This window comes from Homo sapiens, chromosome 15, assembly GCF_000001405.40.
Source record: "Homo sapiens chromosome 15, GRCh38.p14 Primary Assembly".
Taxonomy (NCBI): Eukaryota; Metazoa; Chordata; class Mammalia; order Primates; family Hominidae; genus Homo; species Homo sapiens.
Genome location: NC_000015.10, coordinates 23,464,458 through 23,484,647, shown reverse-complemented (window position 1 = coordinate 23,484,647; position 20,190 = coordinate 23,464,458). Strand labels below are relative to the sequence as shown.

The 20,190-nt window shown below is 39.9% G+C and overlaps 1 long non-coding RNA gene across 1 annotated transcript; it reads right to left on the bottom strand.

Annotated features, from left to right (window-relative positions):
- Nucleotides 1-1,358: 1,358 nt before the first annotated feature.
- On the bottom strand, nucleotides 1,359-9,118 carry LOC105370729 (uncharacterized). The gene is made up of 3 exons (XR_931978.2): nucleotides 8,882-9,118; nucleotides 2,919-2,978; nucleotides 1,359-1,783 (listed from the first exon to the last, which is right to left on the bottom strand). It is a non-coding gene; the product is annotated as an uncharacterized LOC105370729 (long non-coding RNA).
- Between the last annotated feature and the right edge of the window lie 11,072 nt (nucleotides 9,119-20,190).

Here is a 20,190-nt window from a genome sequence, read left to right as displayed (position 1 = left end):
TGACCCTCTAATCTGATTAAAGACACCAATCACTCTATTTATAGTAGTAAAGAAAACACAGATAGTCTATGGCATGATCTGGCAATAGAGATATACAAATATCTTCATTGGATACTACTAATCAAACACTTAGAAGAAGCAAGAAGCTGTATCAATGCGCATATAATTCTGAACACTTTTGGAGAAACAACAAATATGCAGCAATGTGCCACATAATGAGGTTTTGATCAACAGCAGACCACATATATAAGAGTAGCCCCATAAGATTACAATGGAGCTAAAAAACTTCTGTTGCCTAGTGATACACTGTCATAAGGTCATAGTGCAATGCATTCCTTTTTCTATATTTAGACATTTTTAGATACACAAATACTTAACATTGTGTTACAATTGCCTACAGTATTCAATATAGTAACATGCTTTGCAGGTTGTAGCCTAGGGGCAATAAGCTATACTATGCAGCCTAGGTTTGTAGTAGGCTATGCCATCTAGGTTTGTGTGAGTACACTCTATGATGTCACACAAGAACAAAATCACCTAAGAACACATTTGAAAGAATGTATCTCCATTGTTAAGTGACACATGATTAATGAGGTTGGCTGGTTGTTTCTAAAGTTACCGGACAAAGTGCTGAAAGAGTGACATCAGGGATTAGAATTCCTAGCTCAAGTGCAGCGTAAACAACTAGAAAAATTTATCTGTGCTCTTAAAAAGACTCTCATCTGCAGTAGCTACAGGGCTGAACTTGCTAAAAATCACATACACAAATCCTGTGACTGTTTGCCTTACAGAAAGCCAATCACTGAGGTTTATAAGACTGTGATTGTTTTTCCTGTAGGGATCCCAGAGGGACAGGTTTTAACCAAGTGTGATGAATCCATGGTTTAATGCTGGCTAACTTGACAGATGAGGGGGTGATCAGCAGCATCTCAAAAGGACTGGGCCATTGTGGCTGCAGCTGGCCTTCACCCAGGTGGGATTTTCAGGTCTTCAGCAGGACTTGGTTCCTGGTGTTAAAGAGTGAAGAGGCACATCTTTAGGAAACTGGAGCCTTTCAGAAGCAAATTCAGGAAGACTAGTCAGTATATTTTTAACTGTTTTATATATGATAAAAATCCACAAGTCTCGGGGAGTTCAGAGAAGTAGTCTCTCATAAAATGTTTTGAAGGGGAAGAGGCAACTCACTTTAGGGGGACTATTGTATCTTCAGCAAAGCAAGAGAAAAGACCTATTCCTAGGTAAGGTTGTGTCTTGACAACTGTGGTCCCTTTGGCACAAGTAGGTCCATTCAGTCAGTGGGGCACTTAGAACTTTATTTTAGTCTGACCCCTCATGGTCAAGACATGCAAGAGAGAGCATCATGGCAAAGCTTTTATTTTGTACCATATTATTGCCAAGTTGCTGTGGCTATTGGCCTGAGTCCAACTTGTCTCTCAATGAGACTACCTATGGCCAAGAGACTTAGAGTGAAAAGACTTATATCCAAGTAAACATGTTAGGCCAGACAGGAATGAAGGTGGGTAGGCACCCATTAATTCTTAAAACCCTTTTAAACAACTTAATAGCCGAAACCCAAAAGTCAAAAAGTAAGGTTAATATTCCTGTCATCAGGCTAATCCCCCATGGCTTGCATAGGAAGTCTATCAGCTGCGTCGTCTGGGTGCTCCACTTGGCATTGACAGGTGGAGTTGTGCAATTCCTCTTCTCAGGATCAACAGATCTTACAGTGACTTTCATCTAGTCCACCAGGCTGGCTTTCTCTCAGAAATAACCTCCTGTGTGTCTGGAATGAATATATATATGAATGTATATATACACACATCTCCATCTGCAACATATATATACACATTATATATATATACACACACACATATATAGACACATGCACACATACACACGCATACATATACATATATCTCCATCTGCAACAATTCAGTAGTCAGGTGCGGGTCATGCATCAACCAAAACATGCTCTTCCATTCTGCAATGTTTAAAACCAAAGACATTGCTCCAATATTACAATCAATTTTAGTAAAGTTTCCTCAGGAAGCTGATGATACCAATGTATAAAATGGAACATTTTTTAAAAAACATTATACCCTCCAGTTTCAGTAGTTACTTGTTTTTGCCCTTCCCTGACATTGACTACCTTGTTAGAAACCACAGGTCTCAGAGGTACATTCTGGTTTCCTGGCATGATTTCCCCCTTTTGTGGGTAGCCTTGAAACTAGTGATCTCAGTTCAGACAGACCCATGTCTGAATTTGGTCTGGCTTCAGGGTCCAACTCAGCACTCTTACTTTAGCTCTTACGGATAACAATAACCAAGAGACTGAATATTTCACTTTTTCCTTATTTGTTTACATTTTTATGCATCCAGTGAACCAACTCCCTAGGAGTTGAATTTATTTCTAAATTGTGTTGGTAACTTTTATTGTTAATAATTGCATGCAGCACAGCTGCAACTCTACATCATGGGTGACTAGGTTGCCAATCAGGAATCAAAGATGAATCTAGGCGGGGCACGGTGGCTCACGCCTGTAATCCCAGCACTTTGGGAGGCCAAGGCAGGCGGATCACCAGGTCAGGAGATCGAGACCATCCTGGCTAACATGGTGAAACCCCGTCTCTACTAAAAATACAAAAAATTAGCCAGGCGTGGTGGTGGGCACCTGTAGTCCCAGCTACTCAGGAGGCTGAGGCAGGAGAATGGCGTGAACCCAGGAGGCGGAGATTGCAGTGAGCTGAGATCGTACCATTGCACTGCAGCCTGGGCGACAGAGTGAGACTCCATCTCAAAAAAAAAAAAAAAAGAAAAGAAAAGAAAACCATTTCAACAAAGTACCAGGCCAATCTTTCCACGCAGATTTATCAGGTCTATAAAGTCAATTTCCACTTCTCAAATTGATCTTCTCTTACCAAAATATATGTCATTTCAGTCAAAGCCTTGGTAGAATAACCAATGTCTTCAATTGCGTCCTGTTATAAAAGAAAACAGATTTTAATTAATTTATAAAATAACTATATTTCCATGAATTAAAAATATTCACAAATGGTTTTCAAAATCTGGAGAAATCAGGTAGAGAGAGATGCTTCAAATTTTATTTACAAGAGTATATTCTACTAAATTGTTACAGGTAATACGTAGTTCAAAAAAAAGCATTTTTAACTCTTAAAACAAAAAGAATCAGCAAATTTTAAAAAATCCATAAAATTATTTTCATCCTGTATTAGTTTAGAGCATGCAATTAACTTGGGTTTTTGTCTGACTGGATTAGCTCCTTTTGAACCTATCCGCCTTTTAATTAGAGTCCTGGAAGTTTTCTTTTTTCTACTCCAAAGTCTTCAAAGTAATCAGAAACCTGCATTCAAGAGTCTTTTTCAGCCGGGCGCGGTGGCTCAAGCCTGTAATCCCAGCACTTTGGGAGGCTGAGGCGGGCAGATCACAAGGTCAGGAGTTTGAGACCAGCCTGGCCAATATGGTGAAAGCCCGTCTCTACTAAAAATACACAAAAATTACCCTGGCGTGGTGGCACATGGCTGTAATCCCAGCTACTCGGGAGGCTGAGACAGAAGAATTGCTTGAACCTGAGAGGCGGAGGTTGCAGTGAGCTGAGATCACGCCACCGCACTCCAGCCTGGGTGACAGAGCAAGACTCTATCTCAAAAAAAAAAAAAAGAATCTTTTTCATAAACTTCCCTAAAACAGTTAGTTTTGGACTGTAGCTGACTGTGAACTTCTTCTTAGATCAGAGCAGAACTAAATGAAATTGAAATAACAACAACAAACATATACAAAAGATAAATCCAAATAACCTCAATAAGAAACAAAACGGGAGACATTACAAGTGACACCACTGAAATACAAATGATCATTCAAGGCTACTATGAACACCTTTATGCACATAAACTATAAAACCTAGAAGAGATGGATAAATTCCTGGAAAAATACAACCACAACCCTCCTAGCTTAAATCAGGAAGAATTAGATACCCTGAACAGACCAATAACAAGCAGTGAGATTGAAATGGTAATTTAAAAATTACCAACAAAAAATTGTCCAGGACCAAGCAGATTCACAGCAGGATTCCACCAGACATTCAAAGAATAATTGGTATCAATCCTTTTGACACTATTCCACAAGACAGAGAAAAAGGGAACCCTCCCTAGTTCATTCTATGAAGCCAGCATCACCCTAATACCAAAACCAGGAGAGGATATAACCAAAAAAGAAAACTACAAACCACACCCAGATAACTGGTAGCTATAGTTATGCTTGCTAGGATTGGGATGCATGGTGCTTGCCTTTGGTTAGCTCCCTTGGTCTTACTTTCCCAAAAAAGAAACCTCTGGGTGATGGGCACCCTATTTATTCCCAGGATTTGCAGGATAATTGCTCAGAACTCTATTATTGATCCAGATTTTTACATTACCCATCTCTCTTGTTCTTTCTGAGCTGCAGCTGGAGATTTCTGGTTGGTTAACAGGAACAAGTAGAGTTAGTCTAAAACGTAGGCAAAACTTAATAACAACTAATGATTTTAGAATTTAATGACAAATGTATAAGTTTTGAATCATAATTTCTCTCTCCAGTCCTCATTTTTGTTAAAAAACAAATGATCACAGGACTGAGTGGTTTGCAAAATAGACTTTGGTCTTATACTTGGCCTGATTATTTGCATAAAGTGCAACAAGAATAACTATTTCTACATAGGCCTTTTAGACCATCTTTGAAGGAACTCTGTTGCACAAGGAGTCTCAGATAAAAGGTCTTTTAAAGCCAAGCCCAGCCATGGGTTTGTATCCTCAAATACCTGTTAGTTGGGTGATCCTCTCCTCTTAGGGTCCCAAGATAAACTTGGTGCTCCTGGACCTGTTAGAAAGTGACATTCTTTACTGACCACAGGTCAGGAACCCTGTACAGGGACTGTGTAGGCAAGGGTATCAGGCCAGTGTCCCCAAGAGGTTTTATTGGCTCTGCAAGTTGAGATTGACTCCTTAAAGGGAAGCATACCTTTCCAGTCAAAGCTTTGGCAAAATAACCAGTTTCTCCAATTGTGTCATGTTGCAAAAGAAAAATGGATTCTTATTGCACTGAGGCAAACAACTATATTGCCATAAGTTAAGAATACTCCCAGATAGTTTCCAATCTCTGGAGGAACCAGCCAGAGAGAAACAAACATGCTCCAAATTTTGTTCAGAGGAGTCTACTTTACACAATTATTAAAAGCCACAAATAGTTCAAAATAAGTTTCCTTGACCATTAAAAACAATCCTTTAACCCTAGGCAAAAATTTACATTTTCATGCCTTTTTATAACCTTTTACTAAAAACACATTTTACTGTTCTCACACACCTCACATGTAAATCTATTTCCAGTAGTTTCAATTATATGTTATAATGGTAACTCCTAGCAATTTTAACTTAAACGTAAAACCTGGTAAGTTGTTTTAATTTTGTGCTTGGTGCAGCCAAGGTTTTACTCCTTCCAGCATAATTGAAAGTGCGGTTAGTTCTATATGTCCCCAGGACTTACCAGTTGTACAGCAGGGAAGTCAAATAGTTCTCAAAACCCAAAAAGCAGTTTATAACCTTAAAACACTTAGCAAACCTTGCATCTGACCTGCATAATTTAGTCCACCTATTTATATTTTAAAGACACCTGCATTTTACCAATAATCTTTAAGGCTCTTTTTATCACTCAAAGATTAAAGTCACATGGAAAGCTACCATAGCTTTTATCTTCCCTTTAAAAAAAAAAATTTGACCCAGTGCTTGTCTTCCTTTTGGCCAAATTAATTAGCGATTTTTTATAGACATTACATACAACACACATATACAATTACACAGACAGACAGGAGAAAACCCAGTCCCCACAAGATCCTTTCACACAACCAAAACTTTACAGAGAAAATAAACAGGGATCCTTATCATTCCTACCCTAGTAAAATGTCTTCCAAAAGAGAGAGAGAGAGAGAAAAAAAAGAAACTCCTTTAAAAGTTAACTGCTGACAGGGTGGAGAAGAAAAAAGTATTCCCGGCCGGGCGCGGTGGCTCACGCCTGTAATCCCAGCACTTTGGGAGGTGGAGGCGGGCAGATCACGAGGTCAGGAGAACGAGACCATCCTTGCTAATATGGTGAAACCCCATCTCTACTAAAAATACAAAAACATTAGCCAGGTGTGGTGGCAGGCACCTGTAGTCCCAGCTACTCCAGAGGCTGAGGCAGGAGAATGGTGTGAACCCGGGAGGCGGAGCTTGCAGTGAGCCCAGATGGCACCACTGCACTCCAGCCTGGGCAACAGAGCAAGACTCCGTCTCAAAAAAATATATAAATAAATAAAAATAAAAATAAAAAAGAAAGAAAAAAGGATTCCTGGGGGAAGAACCTCTTATTCTCATGTAACTGGTTCCTCCATCAGGGAGAAAAGCTTAATTGCTGTGAAAAAGAGCTGGCCTCCCTGGCCAGGGGATGTGGCAGGGAACGCCAGCCAGCCTCGTGGGGCGCCTTGGGGCCCAGACAGCCACTGTGGCTGATTCCCGCCTTGCAGGTCCATGTTTGGACACCATGCAGACATGTGGCAGATAAGGCCATGCACCCCAGCTGATAGGAAAGCGGGAGCATAGAGCTGCCCCGCCTATCTCACCAGCACACCTGTGGATGTTGGGGTGGATGTGAACCCCTTCCAGTATTGTAAAAGAAAAAAGAGGTGCCATTACTAAAAAAGAGAAGAAGAATGCCACAGGACCAAAAGGCTCGGAAGCAATAGTGAGAAGTTTTGAATACCCACTTCCCTCACCCCTTCTCAAGCCCCATGTTCTGGGCAACAAAGCTGTTGCAGGACTTTTTCTTTTGTTCAGCTAAGAGCCGGGTTTTGGTCACACAGCCATGAGAGATTAGGCTTGCAGACACTTTGAAGGGTGAGAAAAAAATGGAATTTATTGGGAGAAAAGCGGAAACAGGGACCCTCCACAAAGCCAGAGTCCTGCTAGTTTGCTTCCTGCCTTGCAGATGAATCTCAGGTTCCACCCAGAGGCGGAGGGGCCAGGCTCCCCCCGACTATGAAGGGCACAAACTTCTGTGGCTCCACCCCAGTGTGGAGTCCTCCCAGTGCGCAGTCCACCCAGTGCACCACCTGGCTGGAATTTTTCCGGGGACCCCTTTACACTTGGCTGTCTCAAAACCTGATAAAAAACTTAGACATATCAAGAAAAGCCAAGAGTACAGAATCAAGTTATCCTAGAGGAAAACATTGCTTTTCTAGATAAACATTCGAGGTAAACATTTCAGCATCAGGCCACAACAGCAGCTAGAACCAAAGGAAAAACATTACAGAAGCCTATGAAACCTTTGTAAGAGAGAATTATTGGCCGGGCCCAGTGGCTCACGCCAGTGATCCCAACACTTTGGGAGGCCGAGGCGGGTGGATCACGAGGTCAGGAGATTGAGACCATCCTGGCTAACACGGAGAAACCCCATCTCTACTAAAAATACAAAAAATTAGCCAGGCGTGGTGGCGGGCGCCTGTAGTCCCAGCTACTCAGGAGGCTGAGGCAGGAGAATGGCGTGAACCCGGGAGGTGGAGCTTGCAGTGAGCCGAGATCGCACCACTGCAGTCCAGCCTGGGTGACGGAGCGAGACTCCGTCTCAAAAAAACAAAGAGAATTATTATTATCTGAGGCCTCTTTAAGTGGAGAATAAAAGCTGAAAGCAGCAAGACACAGCAAAGTTGCACTTCTGATATAGGAATTTGAGAAGTTTTCAAAAAGTAGCAAGAGTATAGAATCAAAATAAAAACTTCCTGTAATTTTATCAAGAACAAATCAATATTTTAAGGAAGCCTTGCTCTAGCAAAAAGGGCCGATGTTAATCTTTTTACATCTCTCTCCCCTATTTACAGCTTCCTTTTTACCTTGGTTCATAAATAGTCCTCTCAAGTCTATAGTTTGAATAACTTTTGAATTAGACAAAATTATTTTTTTCAATACAAACATATCTTTTTAGCATATTTTATATACAGGATTGTATAATAACTAGAATTCTTATTCTTGGTAACCTTAAATTTTACTGCAATATTTAGGAAGCAAAAAATCCTGAACTGTCTATCAGATATTAGCATTTTGCAGGTTAGACGATTTAACAATTTTTTTTTTTTAAAATGTTTCCCCATATCATAATTTTCTTAATTTGAAATGACCCAGATATGTTTGGATTTGCATCCAAAACAATTTCAATACTTTAAATTACACAAAAAGGTCACCTACAGTAATTATCTCATCTATATTTTATTTATTTTTAGCAGTTTATCTAGATTATTTATGAGAACTGAGATATCAGAAAAATGTAGTTATTTTCTTCTTCACCATCCTTATGACCTGCACATATTAAATCTTTACCTAAGTAAGAGGCTTAAAATTAACTAATGGACATCATTGCTAATAACTCAGAAGATTCAGTGGCTTTTATTAAACCAGCCTCATTAAATTAGACTTATTTCTCAAAAAAATCTCGCAAACACAGATCATTTTCCTCTTGGCTGGGTTTACAATCTTATAAACTTTTGTGCCAAACCCTGACACCTTAAAATACCTAGCAGAGACAAATATAAAATCCAGGCAAAAATGTATGCCAACAATTTCAAAAGCATTTTTATTTTACCAAGAATCTTAAAGCCATCTTGTTTAGTAAAGATTTACCGATGTCAAATGAACTTTTTAAATGCTTGGACTTATTTACTTAACTTATGAGTGATCTTTTACTTATAAGTCAATTGGGTACCTTATAAAAACAACACATAATATCCAGAAACATATACAGACATACAAAGATTCAATACCTTTGACCTCAGAATTCTAGCTGTAAGGTAGCATTACAAACTCACCAGTTTATGAATATGTTCACATAACTAAACTCTCCCCAGTAGGCAATCTTGTGAAGGCTGGGAAACAAAATTTTGGGTAAAGCAGTTTCCATGGTAGTTTGATTTTTTAAGGCCAAACCTCCTCAGACTCCAAACAACACTGGGTCAAACACACCAAAGAAGGACATCACATAATCACCAGGCCTGACCCTGTTGAGAACAACAGCATCAAAGCCTGCATATGCAGAGCTCCATCTCACTTTCCTGTTCAGCAGCAAAATGAACCCAACTGTAATACAGCACGATGTTTCAAAGACCCATGGAGAGTCCAAAACTTTCCAGACTGCAAAGAACACTGCAGCCAAACAGCATTACAAAAGAATATCACTTTCCTTTGTTCCATTGGCTCCTAATTATATTCAGACTACTTTTGAAGAGTGCACCCAAGCAGGCTGCATTCTGGGATTGAATTCTGATTTCCCATGACTATATTCTCACACACACACAGAACACACACACACACAAACACACACACACACACGCATGCATGCAAACAACCATCAAAATAGAGTATCTAACTGCAGTAGGGACTAACAGTCTCCAAGAATGTGGTTTTCTAATTTATGCAAGCAGAAATCCGGCAAGTGTGTAGGGGAATAGATATTAAGGGTGTGGTCCAATGAGGCAAGAAATAAAAAGTTGAATCTGTATTAATTTATTAATACAGGCTCATTAAGCAGAAATTCTGCACTTAACATTGCAGCTCAGGGAATTAAAAAGAGCTCTAACTGGTGGGTTGGTTGGCTAAAACATGGATCAAAGATGGACCTCTGTGAGCAAGCTGGAAATGCTGGATCCCCCTTGGTTTAACACAGAGATTGGAATGTTAGAATAAATTGGTCCTATAAGACCTACTCATCCACAGGGGGAGGGTCCAAAAACCATACCTATCACCAATCATGTGAGACATAAATTTGTGAGAGGAGCCCAGCATCCTTCAAAAGCTCTGTGATCAGTCCTCTGTAAGCCAGACCTTACAGTGGAAACTACAGCCACTAAATCATGAAAACTAATACAATGAGAATATTAGGTCCAAGGATACTAGGGGCCAACTGGCAGGAATCAATCACAAACCATAAGGTAAGCATGGTTACTGTGAAGGACAGCAGATTCAAAGCAGCAGTTATAAAAGTCTGACTCATGCATACCTATGGCATTGGCTAGTTGATCATAGTGTTCTTAGAGATGAGATAGATAGAAAGTCTATTAAATTCTTATTTGATATATATAAGCAGAAAAAATTATAGGTTAAGTGAACAAAAGTCTAATTTTAATAATAAAAACAGTAATGGCATCTCCGTCAATTCCAAGATTTGAGTCATGTTACAGACCCAGAACCCCTTGAATTAAAGAGCGCTATTTCCCCTTGAGGATGATATACTACCAACAATTTATACTGTTCATATTTATCCCAGCCTTCCTCAAAGAAAGCCGTAGCTTTTTACTAAGATTATTGTGCATTAGGAAAGTAAAATAATTAGACCTTTTTGGTGACTACTTGACACTATCTCCTAACTGACACTAATTCAGGAGACTCAAACCATCACTGTATACAGTTTCATATACTCTAGAGTAAGGATGTATATATGAAAGTCAGGTGATCAATGGAGTTTTAGCTCAGGTCTGTCTCATAGTAGGTCTCTGAACCAGTCCTGCGTGTTTTCTTTGTTTAATTTTAGAATGCATGATGGAAACAGACATACTGAGCAGTTGGCATAATCCCCACATTGGTTTCCTAATGTGTAGAGAGATGGTCATTATTATGATAAGAAAGGCAAGTAGGCAAGTAGAAGCCTCTAGAACCGGTGCTATGTATGAAAATAGTAAACCAAAAGCAACTGCACATTTCTGTAATGATTGCAGAAATTATTTTCACCATCAGGGACTTGAAGCATGCACAGGTGGTGATTCTCACCATATCCCTATTTAGTTCTCTCATTTGGCCTGTGCTGAGGACACATGGATCTCGGAATGTGGCCACAGATTATTGAAAGCTTAACCAGGTGTTGACTCCAGATGCAGCTGCTGTACCAGATGTAATTCCATTGACTGAGCAAATTATTACATGACCTGGTGAGTTGTGAGTTGTATGCAGCTATTAATCTAGCAAATGCCTTTTTCTCCTTCCCTGTCATTCAGATTCACTAGAAGTTTGCTTTCAGCTGGGCAAGGCAAGGAATACATCTTCACTGCCCCACTTCAGGGATACAGTAAGTCTTCACTTAATGCCATTGATAGTTTATTGGAAAGTGAAACTTTAAGCAAAACGATGTATAACAAAACCATTTTTTCTCATCAATGTTGTAACAAAAGCCGTTGAACAAAACAATGTTATTTGGGGACCTGCTGTGTGTTGTTTTGCTTAAAGTCACATTTTTCCAAGAACTTATCAGAATGACTTTAAGTGATAATTTACTGAAAATAAACTCTCCGGCTCTATGTCAAAATGTACTTCACAAGAATCTTGACAGTCTTTCCTTTCCATATGATATCACACAGGCCTATCACATTGACGATATTAGGCTGACTGGACCTAGTGAGCAAGAAGTAGTAAATACTCTAGACTTATTGGCAAAATATTTTCTTGTCAGAGGATGGGAAATAAATGCACCTAAAATTCAGGGATCTTCTACCTAAGTGAGATTACCAGGGCACCAGTGGTGTGGAGCATGATCATTTATCTTTCTAAGATGAATTAATAAGTTGTTACATCTGGCCTTTCCTACGACAAACAAAAAAAAAGAAAAAGAGGCACAATGTCTAGAGGGACTGTTTGGATAATGAGGCAACACATACATCAAGTGCGTATGCCACCCAACCCCATTAACCGAGTGACTCATAAAGCTATGAGTTTTGAGTGGGCTCCAGAACAAAAGAAGGTTCTGTAACTGGTCCAGGCTGCTGTACAAGCTTCTCTGACAACTGGGCCACATGATTCAGCAGATTCACTGGTGTCTGAAGTGCCAGTGCAGATAGAAATGTTGTTGGGTGTCTTTGGCTGGTCTCCTTAGGTGAATCACAGCACAGGCTCTTAGGATTTTGGTGCAAAGTTCTATCATTCTCCTCAGATAACTGTTCTTTTTTTGAGAAACAGTTATTGGTCTGCAGTTGGGTGTTAGCAGAACACTTACCATGCAACCTCAGCTACCCATGGTGAACTATGTGTCATCTGACCCACCTGGCCAGAAATTTCAGGTAGACAGCAGCAACATTATGAAATGCAAGGGGTTTATATATGATTGAGCCAGAACAGGCCCCAAGGCACAAATAAGTTAAATGAAAAAGTGGTCAAAATGCCATGGTCTCCACTCCTACTAAACGGCCTTCTCTTTCCCCACTGAATGCATGGTCTTAAGGGAACTTCCTATGACCAGTCAACAGAGAAATTAAAAGCTAGGATCTGTCTACAGATGGTTTTGCATACTATGCAGGCACTACACAATGGTGGGCATTTGCAACACTACAGCCTCTGTTTGGGACATCTCTGGAGGACAATGGTGAAGAGAAATCTGCCTAGTCAGCAGACCTTTAGACAGTGCACCTAGTTGTGCACTTTCTTGGAAGGAAAAATGGCCAGACATGAAATTATATACTGATTCATGGGCTGCTGCCAATGGTTTGGCAGGATATTCAGGGACTTGGAAGGAAAATTGTTGAAAAATTGGTGACAAAGATGTTTGAGAAAGAGGTCTGATAATATACTTCTCTGAGTGAGCAAAAACCACGAAGATATTTATTGCCCATGTGAATACTCACTAAACGGTGACCTTAAGAGGAGACGATTTTAATAATCAAATGGATAGAAGATTCGTTCTTTGGATATTAGTCAGCCTATTTCCCAGTAACATGTCATCATCCATTGGGTTCATGAACAAAGTGTTTATGGTGACAGGGAAGGGGGTTAAGTATAGGCTTAGCAACATGGACTTCCAGTCACCAAGACTGACGTGACTATGGCCACTGCGGAGAGCCCAATCTACCAGCAGCACTGTACCCCCATTATGGCACCATTTCCCAGGTAATCAGCTGGCTACCTTGTGACATATTAAAGAAACTGGACCACTTCCATCAAGGAAGAGCCAGTGTTTATTTTCTTATTGGAATAAACACTCTGGAAATAAAATTGCATTTCCTTCATGTACTGCTTCTGCCAAAACTATCACTTGTGGACTTACAGAATGTCTTATCCACAATCATGGTAATTCTACACAGCATTGTTAATCATGGAACTCACTTCACCAAAAAGACGTGTGGTAATGGGCCCATACTCATGGAATTCAGTGGTTTTACCATGTTCCCCACCACCTTGAAGCAACTGGCTTCATGGAACAGTGAAATGGCCTTTACAAAAGTTGACTGAGTCACAACAGTAGCTAACAGGCAATACTTTGTAGGGCTGGGGCAAGGTTCTCCAACAGACTGTATATATTTTAAATTAGGGTCTAATATATGGTACAGTTTCTCTGATATCTAGGATCCATGGATCCATGAATTAAGGGGTGGAAATGGGAAAAGCACTGATAGGGACAGGAGGCAAGGAAATTCTGGGCAGAAGAGGGTGGGTCCCCAGCGAGGGCCTGACCCTCAAGCTGAAAGCCCTGATACCATGGTCCAAAGTGAGAATTTATATCCCTGTGTTCCCACTAGAATGTTGCCTTTTCCAAAACCACCCATGACCCACACTGCTCCCCATTCTGTGCCTATAAAAAACACAAAACTCAGCCAGAGAGGGCAGTGAACAGCAGGAGACTATGGTTGACCATTGGAGAGAAGCGGCTTGACTTCAGAGGGACGGTTGATGGTGTAGCTTCGGATAGGAGTCTGGCCGGGGATGGCTAGACTTCAGGGTATGATTACCTTCCCACTCCCTCCCCCTTTCAGCTCCCCTTCCCACTCAAAGCCACTTTCATTGACAATAAAATCCCCTACATTTACCATCTTCAATTCATTTGTGGAACTTCATTCCTCCTGGACTCCAGACAAGAACTTGGGTGCCGTGAGTGCAGGTGCAAAAGACTGTCACACTAACCCTCCGCTGAGCTGTTAACACTTAAGCCGTCTGCAGATGGCTGAGCGAAAAGAGCACCATAACACTTCTTCTGGGGCTTCAGGGGTCGTGGGCACACCCCCTAGATGCTGCTGCAGGGCCTGTATGGAGTTTGCTCCTGCCTGCACCCAAAAGTGCTTGCCCTGGCTCCTGTACCCACTCACATGTGTGCTCCCTCCCATGAGGGGTGGAATGGGAATGCAGCAGGGAAATATCCTGCTTCAGCACAACATACTATTATTCCTAGCGAACCACTAATTTTTTTCTTACTGTTCTTATGACGTTTTGCTTGTGTGGCCTAGAGTTTTTATTTCCAAAGGAATGCTTCCACCAGAAGACACAACCATAATTCAATCAGACTAGAATTTGAGATTGCCACTCCATCACTTCGGACTTCTCATGTCTGAATCAACAGGCAAAGAAGAGAGTTATGGTGCCACCTGGAGTGACTGATAGATTTCCAATGGGAAATTGACCTGCTCCTCCACAATGGAAGTATGGAAGAATATATTTGGAATATAGGGGATTTGTTAGACATTTCTTAGTAACGTGATATCCTTCAATTAAAGTGATTAGAAAACTACAGCGTCCTAGCCTAGGCAGGACTACTGATTGTCAAGATCCTTTAGGAATGAAATGTTGGGTAACCTATGAAGTAAACAACCACAACCAGCTGAGGTGCTTGCTGAAGGCAAGGGGAGTACAGAATAGGCAGCAGAAGAAAATAGTTACAAATACCAACAACATCCTTGCCACAATTTATAGAAAGAAGAATTTTTTGTAATGATCATGAGCATCTCCTTATTTTGTTAAAATGTGCTTTTGGGTATGTAACAAATATATTTTTTTTCTCTTATTTTCTTATCTATCAAATGTGTATTAGCTTTATATCATAGTATTTTAATGTCATAATATTTAAGTTATGGGATATCAAGGGGAGAAGGAGTACTCAAAGACTTTAATCTTTCTTCTGAAAAGGGTATTAATTAGTGCATTTTTGGTTGTATGCATGATCGTTGTATCATGTTAGGTCAAATTATGACTTTGTTATTATCTTCATTTGGAAATTAAGTATGGTTTAATGACATGCATATGAGTAAACAATTGACAAGCAGTAGCTTTGTGATGGTTAATTTTATGTGTCAACTTGACTGGGACACAGAATGCCCAGACATTTAGTTCGGCATTATTCTATGTGTGTGTGAGGTGTTTCTGGATGATAATAACACTGGAATCGGTGGACTGAGTAAAGAAGATTGCCCTCCGCAGTGTAGGTGGACCTTAGCTAATCCACTGAAGGCATGAATTGAACAAAAGGCTGAGAAGAGAGAATTTTCTCTCTCCCTGACTGTCTCCAAGCTGGGACATCAGTCTTCTGCCTTCAGACTCAGACTGGAACTTACACCATCAGCTCTCCTGGCTTTCCTGCCTGCAGACTCAGACTCATGCTGCACTACTGACTCTCTAGGCTCCTAGTTTTTTGGACTGCAGATTTTGAGACTTCTCTGCTTCCACCATCGTGAAAGCTAATTTTCTATTATATATATCTATAAATACATAGATATATATATTTCATTATTAGTTGTGTTTCTCTGGAGGATTCTATCCATATAATGAGAAAGCCAAAACTATTAATTGTTGGAGGGGATATGGTGTAACCAACATAATTGTACATTTCCGGTATAATTACTTTGGAAAAATGTTTGTTTTAATACAGAATTTTTTTTTTTTTTTTTTTGAGAAGGAGTCTGCTCTGTTACTCAGGCTGGAGTGCAGTGGCGCAATCTCGGCTCACTGCAAGCTCCGCCTCCTGGGTTCACGCCATTCTCCTGCCTCAGCCTCCCGAGTAGCTGGGACTACAGGTGCCCGCTACCACGCCCGGCTAATTTTTTTTTTTTTTTTTGTATTTTTAGTAGAGACGGGGTTTCACGGTGTTAGCCAGGATGGTCTCGATCTCCTGACCTCGTGATCTGCCCGCCTCGGCCTCCCAAAGTGCTGGGATTACAGGTGTGAGCCACTGTACCCAGCCTCAGAATTTTTTAAACTTATGACACAGCACTTCCTCTAGGCATGTAATCAAAATAATGGAATGATTCTGCTAGACACCACCTCCACCATGTACTAGGATATTCATAAAGCACTATTTTAATGGTCCCAAACTGGAGAAAAACTAAATGTTCATCAACATTTAGTAGAATGTTTAGAATTTTTTATGTATACATAAATGTCAAGCATACAACAATGAGAATGAATAAACTACATCTCCATGAAAAAACATAACTGTGTATCTCACAGATTTAAGGATAAGTAAAAGAAGCTGGATACAGAAACAAACCCACATAATTTATGACTGCATAGTTATACAGTTAAAAATAGTCAGCGGGGCACGGTGGCTCAGGCCTGTAATCCCAGCACTCTGGGGGCGCCGAGGCGGGTGGATCACGAAGTCAGGAGATCGAGACTATCCTGGCCAACATGGTGAAACTCTGTCTCTACTAAAATACAAAAAATTAGCTGGGCGTGGTGGCACGTGCCTGCAGTCCCAGCTACTCGGGAGGCTGAGGCAGGGGAATCGCTTGAACCCTGGAAGAGGAAATTGCAGTGAGCTGAGATCTCGCCACTGCACTCCAGCCTGGCAACACAGTAAGACTCCATCTCAAAAAAAAAAAAAGTCCAGATCAATCTATACTGTTAGAAACCAACATAAAAATAGGTAACAATTTTAGTGATTGGAAGGGGACTTCTTTGGGCTGTTAATTATGATAATTATGTTAATTATAATTCATTAAATGATATGATTGCATTTGTGTATTCAATTTGTGAGTATTTATAAAGCTGTGTACTTATTATTTGAGAATAAATGTTTGTATATATGTTACACTTCAACAGAAAATGTGTATTAAACATTTGTGAGGGGAATAATGGGTAACTGGGTGATGTGTTTCTGCAATAAAAAAAAGTAGGTGAAATTATTCTTTTTTTTATACAAAATTGCTTTCTACTTTCTTAAGGAAACCATATAGACTAAACACAATGTTTGAACTTAATATATGTATGGCAAACTAGAGACAGACAGTTACCGAGAGAGAGAAAGACAGGGATAAAGAACACACACGCACACACACATTTGAGCCATGATACCTCCTTCAGATGCCGAGTAAGAAAGATATTGGTAGATAGAAGCTGGAAATTGTGTTGCATGGAAGCATGCACTGGAAAGGCCACAGAGTAAGAATCAACAGAATTAATCCATATTGTGCCTCCTGGGAGATTTTTGTTAAAATAAGAGGTTAAAATACTTGTAAAATATGTCCTAGTGCATTTTCTGTCCCCTTTCCTCATCAAAATATTTGTGGCTATTATTTTTCAAAAGGGAGAAAAATCATTCACCAATAACCAAACTGTCTAATTGATCTTCATTGAATATCCAGTGTGTAATAACTTGGGTTAACTTAGTAGTATTTTGAACCACTAGGTGTCCCTGTAAGCAAATGATTGAATAATTTCTAAAACTCAGCAAGCCTTGGAAAGTTTGACCAACATCATCAGTGAACTTGAGCTAACTGATGTATGTAAAACACCAGGCCGACCTATTCCTGTCTGATTAATAAATTGGCCTGAGCGCGGTGGCTCACGCCTGCGATCCCAGCACCCCGGGAGGCCGAAGAGAGCGGATAACCTGAGGTCAGGATATTGAGACCAGCCTTACCAACATGGAGAAAACCCATCTCCAACAACAAAAACAACAAAAATATATATATATAATGAGCCTAGCATGGTGGTTCAGGCCTGCAATCCCAGCCACCCAAACCCGGGAGGCGGAGGCTGCGGGGAACAGAGACCGCGCCACTGCATTCCAGCCTGGGCAACAAGAGCAAAACTCCCTCTCAAAAAAAAAAAAAAAAAAAAAGGGACCGGGTTACACCATGTTGCCCAGGCCCGTCTGGAAGTCCTAGGCTCAAGCCATCTGCCGCGCTTGGCCGTCATAAGTCCTGTGATTAACAGCGTGAACCACCACGCCAGGCCGATCACGCCTGTAATCCCAGCACTTTGAGAGGCCGAGGCAGGGAATAGCCTGAAGTCGGGAATTTGAGACCAACCAGCCTGACCAACATGGGGAAACCCCGTCTGTACCAAAATAAATAAATAAATAAATAAATAAATAACAAAATGAGCCCTGCATGGTGGCTCAGGCCTGCAATCCCAGGCACTCGGGAGGCTGAGGCAGGAGAACCAGCCAAACCCAGAGGCAGAGGCCGCGGGGAGCCGAGACCTCGCCACTGCCCTCCAGCAGGGCAACAAGAGTGAAACTCCACCTCAAAAAAAAAAAAAAAGTGACTGGTTTTCACCATGTTGCCCAAGCCGGTCTGGAACTCCTAGGCTTAAGTGATAATCCGCGCTCGGCTGTCCAAAGTCCTGGGATCACAAGCGTGAGCCACCACGCCAGGCCGATCTATTCCTTTCTGATTAGTAAACTGGGCAGGGCAGGTGATCTATCCTGGAGAATGTTCTCTGTGAGCTTAATATTGTGTATGCTGTTGCTATTGGATGGAATGTTCTGTATATGTGTGTTAGGTCCATTTGATCTAATGCGTCGTTCAAGTCTCATGTTTTCTTATTAATTTTCTGCCTGAATAATCAGTCCATTGTTGAAAGTGATATATTCAAGTCCCTTACTATGATTGTATGGTAATCTCTCTCTCTCTCAAGAGCATTTCATATTTGTTTTATATTTTAAGTGCTCCAACGTTGAGCATATGTGTAATTGCTATTGTTATATCCTCTTCATAAATTGACCCTTTATCATCATATCATGTTCTTATGTGTCTCCTATTTCAGTTTTTGAGCTTTTCTCTTTGTTTTCATTTGCATGGAATATCTTTTTCCATCCCTTCATTTTCAGTTTGTGTGTGTCCTAAAATACAAGATGAGCCTCTTACGGGCAGCGAATAGTTGGGGCTTGTTTCTTTATCCTTTCAGTTACTCTCTTTTTTGTAGGATTTAATGCATTTATATTCAAGGTAATTATTGATAGGCAAGGGCTTACTACTACCATTTTGTTAATTGTTTTCTGGTTGTTTTGTAGATACTTTGTTTCTTTCTGCCTCTTATGCTGTCTTCCATTATATGTTGGCCAACATGGAATAACAGAAATTTCAAAGAGCAATAGAGTTCCAAGTCAGTAAGTTAGACATGATTTAGTGATAGAATCTGTCTGTCAAAACCACAGTAAGCCTTGGACCAAAGAGATTAGTGAGAAAGCCCTTCTCAGTAAGAATTTAAATCTAAATCTAATAAGAAGCAAAATGTAGAAACAGATGTCTAAAAAAATAAAGCTACTATAATTAAAATTGTTTGACATGGGAACATAATCAACAAATAGAAAATTACTACCTAGTAGCATACAGAAGTAAAATCAGATATGTAAATATAGTGGTATTTCAATTTAGTTAGGAAAGTATATGCTACTACCCAGCATATACAAAAACATATTCCAAATGGATAAGAGGTCCAAGCATTACATAAGACAATTAGAAAAATAATGTTTATATTCTTTGAGTAAAGCCTCTGAAAATAAATCAAGTAATGCAGCATTTGCAAAGATAAAATAAGAGTAATTATAAAGTCTAATGATAAAATATAAACTTGGAAGAAGCATTTGAAGAGTATAAACAGACCAAATGGTTATTTGTCTACTAAATTAGGAAGTCCTATATATAAATATGAATATAACAACCAAATAGACAAATGTAAACTTAATAAAGATCTGCAATTAATAGAAACATAAAAGGTATATAAATACACTATATTTATATAAAATATAATTATAAAAGGTTATAAAAGGTAATTAAATACACTAAAAAAGTTTGAAAACATGAATCATAAAATTGTCAACTTTGAAAGATTAGTTCCATCCATTGTTGACAATGACATAAGAAAAAGTATTCACATACATTTTATTCTGGACCAAAAGTTAACCTGGTACTGTTTAGACATAAAGCAAAGTTCACATATTTGTATCACAGCCCCAAATCTATGAGGTAAGTATAAGAGAAAAAATTCTTACAGAATTGTGTAGCTTCATTTCAAAAAAAATGGCTACATAAATTCTAGCAGAAAAAGATAAATGAGCAAAGTTGTTTATGAGAGTGTACAATAGCAAAAAAAAAAGGTATTACCTAACCATCATATAGAGCTGGTTGAATAATTTATAATAAACATC